General features: G+C 37.4%; 1 long non-coding RNA gene across 1 annotated transcript in view; it reads right to left on the bottom strand.

Annotated features, from left to right (window-relative positions):
• BALR6 (B-cell acute lymphoblastic leukemia associated long RNA 6) overlaps positions 1-12536 on the bottom strand; it is a 306371-nt gene that overhangs the window by 156241 nt on the left and 137594 nt on the right. The window lies entirely within an intron of this gene.

The following is a 12536-nucleotide window of genomic DNA, read 5'->3' as shown; positions in this document are numbered from 1 at the left end:
GCTTTTATTATAAGTAAGATATGGGAGTTCAAATATATAAATATATGTTAATATTATTTCTGTATTTTTATTTCTATGCTTCTATGTATGTGTATATATACACACACGTGTGTGTATGTGTATACATACACATACATACACACAAACCATAGAAATACATATATAAAGCATAGGAATACATATGTATATATACATAAATGCATACACAAATTTACCATTTATGTGAATATACATATTCTCACATATAGCATAGTAATAAAATGAGCAGGAGCATGTGAATTCAAAAGCAACAAACATTTATAGTCAAAAATCTTTACAACTGCACAAATGACTACCAGGAATTGTGGGGAGCCCTTTGAAAAGAACTTTTTCAATCTGAAAAGAAAAAAAGAAAATCAAAACCAGAGAACATAAATTAAAAAAAATAAACTAAATAAAAAGAGCAGCACTGCCCTTTTATGAAACTTGAGCTGGACCACTGACCTCCATCTGGCTTCAGGGCTCGGGAAGACAGAGCAGAGAGCGTGTCCACCCCGCCCACTGGGTAGGGTAATCTAACTTGAGCTTCTCACACAAAGAGGGCTTTGTGACTATCCTCCTTTTCCTGATCATGACCAGGGTGATGGTGGGTTTTTTTCCTCAACATGAGCACAGGGATATTTTTCCCCTATAATTTCTTTGTACAAAGATTCACTCTCAAATATGTTTCCAATTTTGTTTATGTTAAAAACATAAAAGAAATAGCAGCATAAACAAGAGCGTGGCTGTTTGCTGGTGTGCTCTCCTAGAAATCACCCACGGTGTTCAGAGGGTGAAATTCTATGCCCTGTGAAGACGCAACAAACAGTTTTGCTTTCATTTTTAGTCTATCCAGTTGTCTACTTTTCAAAAAAATGATGGGCTATATTTTAAAAAACAAACAAAAAAAGGAGTTTATTTCAAACATCCTTATACATCCCTCAACATCTCATTTAATAATTTATAATTTCCCTTGGGCTGAAAATTTACCCTCAGCTCTCTCCACAGGTTCTCAGGTTGATGCATTATTTTAGGGGAAAAATAAAAGGCCAAACCCCACATTAATCATAAGGAAAAACAAGTTTTAATGGATCTTTTTATTATAATAAATGATTAAATAACCACTTAGTCCTAACAACTCAATTAAGTACTAAATAAACAAGTTTGTGTTTATAGAAGGAAGAAAAAAGGTAACATCGTGTAAAGGAAAATGCTATTACACACCGGGAGCAAATCTCTAGGAAGAGGACATAAATACAAATTTTATCAGAATGAGATGACGAAGAAAATACATGCTGAGGATGGAACAATAAAAGGCACAGTAAGAAGAAAGTGTCTCAAGTAGCAGAAAGCTTCCGGAAAACAGGGTTCAAACCCAGCTTAGATACTAGCTATGTGTTTTTGTACAGGTTACTTATTTTCTCTGATCCTGGAGATCTCTTAAAATTAGGATTGGTTAAAAATCCTTCCAATGACTCCCTGTCTTCCTTAGGATAAAGCAACAAATTGCACACTTTTAAAATAAAATGTAAAAAATTAACATAGGGTACAATGTATGACTACCAATGTTTTATTTTATCAAGTAAAGACATCAAAGGAGAGTCATTTTTTTTTATTATTATACTTTAAGTTCTAGGGTACATGTGCACAACGTGCAGGTTTGATACATATGTATACATGTGCCATGTTGGTGTGCTGCACCCATTAACTCGTCATTTACATTAGGTATATCTCCTAATGCTATCCCTCCCCCCTACCCCCAGCCAACGACAGGCCCCAGTGTGTGATGTTCCCCTTCCTGTGTTCAAGTATTCTCATTGTTCAATTCCCACCTATGAGTGAGAACATGTGGTGTTTGGTTTTTCATCCTTGCGATAGTTTGCTGAGAATAATGGTTTCCAGCTTCATCCATGGCCCTACAAAGGACATGAACTCATCCTTTTTATGGCTGCATAGTATTCCATGGTGTATATATGCCAAATTTTCTTAATCCAGTCTATCATTGATGGACATTTGGGTTGGTTCCAAGTCTTTGCTATTGTGAATAGTGCCACAATAAACATACATGTGCATGTATCTTTATAGAAGCATGATTTATAATCCTTTGGGTATATACCTAGCAATGGGATGGCTGGGTCAAATGGTATTTCTAGTTCTAGATCCTTGAGGAATCCCCACACTTCTTCCACAATGGTTGAACTAGTTTACAGTCCCACCAACAGTGTAAAAGTGTTCCTATTTCTCCACATCCTCTCCAGCATCTGTTGTTTCCTGACTTTTTAATGATCGCCATTCTAACTGGTATGAGATGGTATCTCATTGTGGTTTTGATTTGCATTTCTCTGATGGCCACTGATGATGAGTATTTTTTCATGTGTCTGTTGGCTGCATAAATGTCTTCTTTTGAGAAGTGTCTGTTCAAATCCTTCGCCCACTTTTTGATGGGGTTGTTTGTTTTTTTCTTGTAAATTTGTTTGAGTTCTTTGTAGATTCTGGATATTAGCCCTTTGTCAGATGAGTAGATTGCAAAAATGTTCTCCCATTCTGTAGGTTGCCTGTTCACTCTGATGGTAGTTTCTTTTGCTGTGCAGAAGCTCTTTAGTTTAATTAGATCCCATTTGTCAATTTTGGCTTTTGTTGCCATTGCTTTTGGTGTTTTAGACATGAAATCCTTGCCCATGCCTATGTCCTGAATGGTATTGCCTAGGTTTTCTTCTAGGGTTTTTATGGATTTAGGTCTAACATTTAAGTTTTTAATCCATCTTGAATTAATTTTTGTATAAGGTGTAAGGAAGGGATCCACTTGCAGCTTTCTGCATATGGCTAGCCAGTTTTCCCAGCACCATTTGTTAAATAGGGAATCCTTTCCTCATTTCTTGTTTTTGTCAGGTTTGTCAAAGATCAGATGGTTGTAGATGTGTGGTATTATTTCTGAGGGCTCTGTTCTGTTCCATTGGTCTATATCTCTGTTTTGGTACCAGTACCATGCTGTTTTGGTTACTGTAGCCTTGTAGTATAGTTTGAAGTCAGGTAGTGTGATGCCTCCAGCTTTGTTCTTTTGGCTTAGGATTGACTTGGCAATGTGGGCTCTTGTTTGGTTCCATATGAACTTTAAAGTAGTTTTTTCCAATTCTGTGAAGAAAGCCATTGGTAGCTTGATGGGTATGGCATTGAATCTATAAATTACCTTGGGCAGTATGGCCATTTTCATGATATTGATTCTTCCTATCCATGAGCATGGAATGTTCTTCCATTTGTTTGTGTCCTCTTTTATTTCATTGAGCAGTGGTTGTTTGTAGTTCTCCTTGAAGAGGACTTCACATCCCTTGTAAGTTGGATTCCTAGGTATTTTATTCTCTTTGAAGCAATTGTGAATGGGAGTTCACTCATGATTTGGCTCTCTGTTTGTCTGTTATTGGTGTATAAGAATGCTTGTGCTTTTTGCACATTGATTTTGTATCCTGAGACTTTGCTGAAGTTACTTATCAGCTTAAGGAGATTTTGGGCTGAGACAATGGGGCTTTCTAAATATACAATCATGTCATCTGCAAACAGGGACAATTTGACTTCCTCTTTTCCTAATTGAATACCCTTTATTTCTTTCTCCTGCCTAATTGCCCTGGCCAGAACTCCCAACACTACGTTGAATAGGAGTGGTGAGAGAGGGCATGCCTGTCTTGTGCCAGTTTTCAAAGGGAATGCTCCCAGTTTAGAATAGTCATATTTATAGACTTGTGTTACCCACCAACATTTCAAAAACAACAGTAAATTTTAACCCCCTAAAATAAGAAGACATAATAGTAGAATAAATAACAGTTATTTAATTTGAAGAAATTTAGTTTTAGGGAAACCTCATTACATTATCTTTATTTTTCTCATCACACCATGAACCAGTGACAGTGAGGACCACTGTTGCAATGAGAGCACCTAAGAGGAAATATATCTGTTAGTCAGGATAATTTAGCATATGCTGTAATAACAAAGTAACCACCAAAACTCATCACAACAAAGATTACTTTCTCATCTTTGCTCCATATTCAACTGGTGCTCTGTACTCCACATGGTCAGATAGTAGCTCAGACTGAAGGAGATTCTACTGTCTGGAATGCTACTTATCACCACGAAGCAGAAAGGAGATAGAAAAAAATCAAACATGAGTTTTCACTGCTTATGAGATTGCCTCGTGCCATTTCTTCTCTCCATTCTGACCATTTTTTGCCCAGAAAAACTCACATAACTCTGCCTTATGTGCAAGAGGATTAGAAAATACAGGAGAGCACTTAGAATGGTTGTGAAACATTATTGTGAGCCTGTGCTACAATAATCTAGTCTCCATCAGAGAAGTCCCCACTGAAGAGGTGAAGTTGAAACTAAGATTTAAAGGTCAGGTGAAGGGGAAGGATCATGGCAGCAGTGGAAGAAGGAAGGAGAACAAAGGGCTCCAGGCAGAGGGAATTATACATGTGAAGTCCCAGAAACAACAGACAGCATGGCACATTTAAGGAATTAAAAGCATATAATACAGTTAGAAGGCAGAGATTAAAGCAAAGGCTAAGGAGAGTCTGTAATTTGTTGCTTTATCCTAAGGGAGACAGGAAGTCATTGGAAGGGTTTTAAATTCGAAATTCACCTGTTTAATAATTTTTACTAATCAAGTCACAACTTTTATTTTCTGATGACCTTTCATTAAAGTAACTATAAATGATATATATATATATTTTTTTAAAAGCAGATTAGAGGGAAGTCATTATGAAATGTTTATGGAAGTAAAATATAACTTCGTATTCATAATTTCCTAATGGGATCAACCAAGTGCTAATCTGTTAACTACCAACTACTAATCCCTTTCAGGTTAGTGGCTTTTTCCATCTTGGTTGCCCACTAGAACCCCCTGGGAAGACTTTCAAAATCCCAGTGCCTAATTAAGGCAGAATTCCTTGGAGTGGTACCTAGCTAGCCACCAATAATTTTTAAAACTCCCAGGTGATTCCAATGTGCATCATAGACTGAGCGCTACACCTCTACAAGCTTTCAGGAATAGAGATTCTCAGTGGGAAATGGAAGTGGGAGAACACATATGAGAATAAACTGGGGCCTTTTAGGGACTACCCTTCACCCAGATTCTAAAGCACAGTGAGAGGTACTGTTTTTAATGACATTGTATTATATACCTCAGATATGTTGGAGGTATAGAAAAGTTGAGAACAACTGATGTGGAGTGGCACTGTTAAACAGAACTTTCTGCGATGATGTGATGGAAATGTTCTGTAATCTGCACTGTCCAACATGGCAGCCACCAGACACATGTGTCAATGGAACACTTGAAATGTGACTAGTGGGACTGAGGAAATGAATTGTTTAATTTTATTTCATTTTAATTAATTTCAGTTTAAATGGAAATAGCCAAATGTGTCTAGCAGCAAGTGTATTAAAAAGCATAGCTCTAGAGCCTTAAGCTAAAATGGTTGTCTTAGTTACATGTCACAAATACTACAAATGCATGTATCTAATGCTTAAAAATATTACATATAGAATTCATCATTTTTTTATAAAGTTTCCTATCTTCTAATCAAGATGTAAGTATTTTGGATGGTCTGTTCCTAATATTATCTGGCAATTCCTGCTCTCTTGACAGTCACATGTTGTTGAGCTGCCTGGAAGCTTCAAGGTCATCTAGTCTAGGACTGCAAACCCAAATGCCTAAGGGAGCCAGGCAGGTTAAATAAATGACTAAAGCAAGCCATTTGCATAGTAAACTCATAGAAACAGTCTTCCTTTCCACAAAGGGTCTCTTCCAATTTTCTTGAAATGTAGGGTCTCTCTGTTTATCTGCCCTTTTCTGTTTTTCTAGCCTAGTATTTCATCAAAAATCTGAAATCTGTAGTTTTGGCCCCTCATATAGGAAATGCAAAAAAGAAAACTTTGAAGATAGTCAGGGACCCTGAGATGGAAGAAGTAAGTATTTGGCTGAGGTGAGAAATACAGTAGCAGGACAGGGTTTTAAGACTGGAAGAGACTCTTGAGCTCTGGAAATCCAAGAGCTTCGGAAGAGCTACTTAACCTCATTATGCTCCAGTTTTCTCCTCTATGCAATGGGAGTATGTGCCTCCTTACCATGTTTACCTGAGGTCACAGGAGTAGCTAGTGCCAATTCCAAAGCTAGAACTCCCCCTCCAAGTAACCTCATTAATTTGCTTTCCATTAAACCCTTGCTAAGGCTTGTAATGAGCCAATAAAATCAGATCTGTAGGTATGTTTTGCAAACTATAAATCTCTATACTAATATTACTATTGTTACTACTTATCTAAAACAGCACACACTTAAAACACAGTCTTCAGTAAAATAAAAAATAATTTCAGAATATTTTTAACTTGGATGTCCCAAACTCTGCCAGCTTGTAAGTATTATATAAATATCCTGCATCAGTTAGAAATTATTTTTAGCTGCTAATAACAGAAACTGGATATAACAAGTGCTTCAACAAGACAGAAGATTATTTATGCTCATGAAAATGAAATCCAGAGGTGTACAGTCCAGGGTTGGTATGCAGGCCACCAACATATGGCTAATTCAGTCAACAACCGAAGAATTCCCAAAGACAACTTGAATTTTCTCATCTTAGAATACAGAAACTGGGTTTTTTAGAGGGCATTTTTTCTAATTTCTAGAAAGTCATTAAGATTCAGTTTTTGCCTGGCATGCCATTACGAGAACGTTTACTTTCTAGACACAGCTCTTCAACATGGCACCTTGGAGTAACAAAGAAGGATTATACCATGACACGATAAGAGTATAACCATAATCCAACCATTTATATACAATCTAACACAGTTGCCTAAAAATCTTTTACAGGTTGAGTATCCCTTATCCAAAAAACTTGGGCACAGAAGTGTTTCAGATTTTGGATTTTTCAGATTTTGGAATATTTGCATTATACCAATGTATTATGCACTCAGCATTCCAAATCCAAAAATCTGAAATCTGAAATACTTCAATGAACATTTCCTTTGACTAGCATGTCAACATTCAAAAAGTTTTTAATCTTGGAGCATTTTGGATTTTGCGTTTTCAGATAAGGAATGCTCAACCTGTATAATATTTCTGATTGCCTGATGATAGGCTTCTAGAAGTGGAAATACAGGCTGTTGATATGCATTGGCAAAATGCCATTAGGGAAGTTTGGAATCATTTTCATTCTCAACAGTGAGAAATGAGAGCTTCTTTCACCACAAAATTACCAAAGTTGAGGATATTCTACCTTAAATCTTTCCCCCAAGGTAGGGTATGAGGGAAGGGGAGGAATATATAAATAACATTGAAATGTTGTCTTATTTTGCACCCTTTGAATCATCACTGGGCAGTCATGAAATGCAGTTCAAAGAGTGTGATCACATTATTATGAAGATTGCTGTAAGAATAGCTCCATCTGGGCTGCCATAAAAGCAACTCCATAAAATGGCCGTCATCAATAAGACAAGAAAATCATTAAAATAAAACAGATTTATCAAAGTGCAAACTGAATGGTATACAGGGGGTCTCAAACATTTGTGTTCTTAAAAATCTTGCCTAGCTCATTTTGATACCCCTACCCCTCTCCCAGCACACACACACACACACACACACACACACACACACACCCCACAATCCCTTAGGAGTTATTGCATAAAAAGTTAAGTTGTTCTGACCCAGATATTTCTAGTCATTTCAAATTTGCTACAAAGATTTACTAACCAAGTTATTACAAGTCATTATAGTTTGTCTGATTTTTGAAACCAATTGGCACATTAGCTGACAATAGTTGATAAAACTGCTCCAAATTTCCAGTCACTTTGGCACTTCTGGAATGAATACGCACATCTAATGAATACGACTACATGGAGGCATGGTTTTAAACAAATATTTGCATTTTATCATTATTGCATGAATATATTTGAGAGAAGCAGAGTACTGATACAATGGATTGTGATTGGTCAATGTTATTTAGGCAAAACATTTAGAAGTTGGACATTAGTAATTTAAAGAGATGGAGAAAGAAGATTTGAAAGATGTTGGGAGGGTGTTAAAACATGCATTTGAGATAACTGGGAAGGGGAGAAGGGGACAAACATGAAGAAGGGCCAAATCTAGCAGAAGTAGCTAGGTGACAAGAAGGCAGTGAAATGGCATAAGATTACTTCGAACAGGCAAGTCCAGTTCAAGTTGTTGGAGGCCCTCAAAGGCAACAGTGGAAGGATTTATTTGATTAGAGCCATGAAGACTCACTGGAGGATTAACTCACTGAGTACCATGATCCCAGTGCCAGGCATGAAAAATTATTTTGGCAGCCACGTGCAGAATAATTTGAAGTGGAAAGAGACAGTGTATTAGAAGCGGGCAAGAAGAATGTTCTGGTAATCCAAGAAGTAAACCAGAAACTGCATGTAGTAGAGACATAGGGAAGAATTGGAAGACTCAAGGTGGATCAGAGGAGGGCAGGAAATATCACAGCAGCCTACAAGATAGGTACACTGAGGGCAGTGGTAATTTCTGCCAATGGCATCAACATGGCAATGGCCTTCATTGAGCATGGCTATTACTTCCTTGAACCCAGAAAACTTTAGCAATTTACTGCCTATGTCCCCTTATGAGTTCATTAGGGCTCTCTCATGTCTAAATGTCTCCAACTACTTCTTGAGTGTATTTATATCTTCAGCAGGCATAATTTCTCAGCGTAAGCAGTCGCCTATTGCAGGTGACTATTTGTGATCAAGGACAGATAGAAAGAAGCTGAAGATAGCCCTGAAGTTTACAGCTTAATGAGTCATTTGGATAATAAAGAAAGCATAGAAAGAAAAAGGAGTAGGGGAAAATTCCAGCAGCTGAAGAATAAGAAATGGAATCCTGGGTGCACAACCAGAGAATACAGGTCAACAACAATTATTGCATTATAATGGAAGGGGCTGAAAGAGAGTCTCCATTTGGAATGTAGCAAGAGCAGTCCTACAAGACAGATCGCATTAATATGAAAAGAATATTATTGAAATCAAGAAGGTACAACAGAGGGCAACCAGAATGATACAAGGACTCAAGGACCTTAATTATTTACAAAGGTTGGAAACACAGTTGCTCTACTTTCCTCTATTAAAAAAAGAAAATGTAAAGGGAATTCACTAAGAACATCCTCAATTCCAAGGTAGCAAAATAAAGGAAGATTTGCAAAGGCTAAATGCCAAAAAGAAAACAGAAAAAAGGGTCATGTACTTAAGCCCAGAAAGAACATGGTATTAAATAAGTTTTAGTGGGATTTCTTTACAAAGAGAGAGGTAAATGCACAGTGCAATCTACTATGCAGGTTCAGATGGCTAATACATATGTAGTGTTCATATATACATGTGTATTTATACAAATACTATATATTTTAAGGAGATAAGCATTACAAAGGAAAATAATTATGGGGTGCCACAATTGTAGACTCAGCTAGACTTACAGAGATTTCCTGTTCTAAAATTTCCTGTGTTCCATAGCCCTTCCATGTAATTTTCAATGTTTTGAGTGCCCATTGGCAATACAGACTAAACACTAAAACAACCTAGAATGATATTCAAGTGAAACATACAGGAAAGTAAATTTGATCTCGAGCTGTCAAAATACCACTTAAAATACAACATATTGACACTCAGTCAAACTATACACCCTCTGAAGAATACCTTCTGAGAAAGAAACCAAACAGAAATTGAAAACCCATTTTACCCTAGCCAGTAGATACCAAACCCACATCAAACTCACAGTGGACTCATATTTTTGTTCTGTATTTTGACTATAATGTTACCTAAACAAGCATTTGTTAAATGCTTATAATACATTCTACAATCTATTTTACAACATGAAATAAAACAGAGACATAACCCATGGTCCCTATTCCCAAAAAAGGAATCCTAATCCTGCCTTGTTCACAACTGTATCCCCAGGACTTAGGGCTGTGCCTGGTATTTGGTAGGTGCTCAATAAATCAGGAGCAATTAGGAGACATATCATTAATTGTTCATGGAGAAGCTACTAAGGGATAGGCTTTAGGAGTACATTCTTGCATTTAATATTCATGAAGATCCTGTGAAGTACATAGTATGTGCTCTATATACTGGAGAAACAAGGAGGCTAAGTTGTCATCTAAGGGCACACAGCCTGCAAGCAGTAGAGACAGGACAGAAGCCCAGACCCGTGTACTTCCCTCTAAGCCATGATGTGTCATATAATCTAGTTGTGAAAACAAGTATACATGCATGTGAAACAACGATAAGTGACACAAAATGCAACATACTTAAAAGCTAGGGCATATGGCCTGGACTCCATATGTTAGAGAGGTTTGGAGTAGATGAAGACAGGAGCGGTCAGGTACTTCTTAGAAATGGGAACATGAAATGAGCCTTGAATGATGAAAGGATCAGAGGGCAAGATCACCAAAACAGCTGTGTGGTTAGCTAGTGGAAAAGGGTAATGGTTCCCAAACCTGACTAGGAAAATTTGGATTAGGGTTGAAAAGAACGACTAGTATTAGAAACTGGTGTGTATATATCCCTAATTATAATGTATTTGTGATAGGAAGAAAGAAATGTTTTAAAACACTGTCTCCGGCCTCTTAGACTATTTCTTTCCACTTTTTTTTTTTTTTTTTTTTTTTTGAGACAGAGTCTTGCTCTGTCACCGAGGCTGGAGTGCAATAGCAAGATCTCGGCTCACTGCAAACTCCACCTCCCCGGTTTAAGTGATTCTCCTGCCTCAGCCTCCCAAGTAGCTGGGATTACAGGCATGCGCCACTACACCCAGTTAATTTTGTATTTTTAGTAGAGATGGGGTTTCACCGTGTTGGCCAGGCTGGTCTCGAACTCCTGACCTCAGGTGATCCACCCACCTTGGTCTCCTAAAGTGCTGGGATTATAGGCATGAGCAACCGTGCCTGGCCATCTTTCCACTTCTACCTGAGATTCCAAATGTCCCACATTAAAGAAGGAGTGGTAATTTCAAAATTTAGAGCAGTGCTTTGTGGTGCTAAAGCTATGCTATCCAAGATGGTAGCCACTAGCAACATATGGCTATGGAACACTTGAAATGTGACTGGTCCAAATTGAGATGTGCTTATCACTCAAATGGGTGAACTATTTCAGCACTTGATGCATCTGCTTTGCTAGGACTGCTGCAAGGAAGCCTTTTTATCACCAGCAAAATGACAATGAACATACAACCACTTGGTGTAAGTAGTTGCCTTAAAAAGCCCAAGCAAAAGGGATGGTGTGGGACAGAGTTAAAAGACCAACCACAGAAGGCAAGATGTGAAGGAAATCAGAAATTCAGTAGGTAAAAGTAATCGAAGGAGGTGACCACAAGAAATATAAGTCCTTTGAGACTCTCCATAGATGTTGGCCTGAAGCTTGTGAGGTGAGTGAGTTCACTGTCTTTCACCATATGTGAATGTGGAATCAGGACTTGAACCAATTTATTTAACTATTAAAGAACACACAGGGTATAAGGGCCACAAGACTGGAGTATTTGCGGAATGTCCTTATACCTGTATTTTGAGTCCTACCTTGATGAAATTCAGCTTTTGACCATAGGTCACTCATTTCATTTCTGTGCATCATTTCATGATTTTCAAAACAATCATTCTCTCATTTGATTTGCAAAAAAGATATGAAGTAGGCAACTATACTGTACCACTTACCATTCCCATCTTAAGGATGAGAAAACCGTGCCTCAGAGGACTTACATGATTTGGGAACTAAAACAGTAGACATATTCAGTGCTTTTCCAATTCTCCCATAGCCTTCTACCACCATCTATACCCTCAAGTAACAACAACAGAAACAATAACACACACACACACACACACACACACACACACCTTTACATGTATGGATTTGAATCCCAATGCTCAGTTTTATGTTAGAATCTCTATCTATTGTTTTCTTTTCTAAATTACTGTATTATCCAATTCTAAACACTTCTGGTAGAGTAAGAAAATACACTCCAGGAAATTGTCCAAAAAACTAAAGCCAAATTGAAAAATATTGTTTAAAAATACCAGCTAGATGTGTCTTACAGGTGTTTTAGTAAAGTGGTAGCCTAAATTGGGTGAACTATCTCAGCACCTCGGATCTGTTCCTTTTTATGGTGATTATTGCCCAAGGCAAAGATTTAAAGATAGAAGGACTGATTTAAAGTGTGTCTAACAGGAGGGAGGAAGTCAAACTTTTTCTTCCTTTATCAGCATGAAAATGAAAACATATGAAATGGGGGTAAAGAAACTTTCATTCAATGATAGATTAAAATTTTTAGTAAATACAGCTCTCACTTTTTGTTTTACACATACCACCCTCCTCCCAATATGAATCATCCACAAATCCCCTCCCTGATCCAAGGAAGAATGCCTCCAATTGTGTAGAAGTGATATAGGAAACTAACTTATCTTTATATGTTGTTATGTACAGTTGTTTGATTTGGTTGGTTTTTTAAATTTCTAATTTACACATGGACACAAGAATGC

The sequence above is a fragment of the Homo sapiens genome, chromosome 3 (assembly GCF_000001405.40).
Source record: "Homo sapiens chromosome 3, GRCh38.p14 Primary Assembly".
Lineage (NCBI taxonomy): Eukaryota > Metazoa > Chordata > Mammalia > Primates > Hominidae > Homo > Homo sapiens.
Note: the sequence above shows the minus strand (reverse complement) of the source record. Positions and strands in the feature narration are given on the sequence as shown.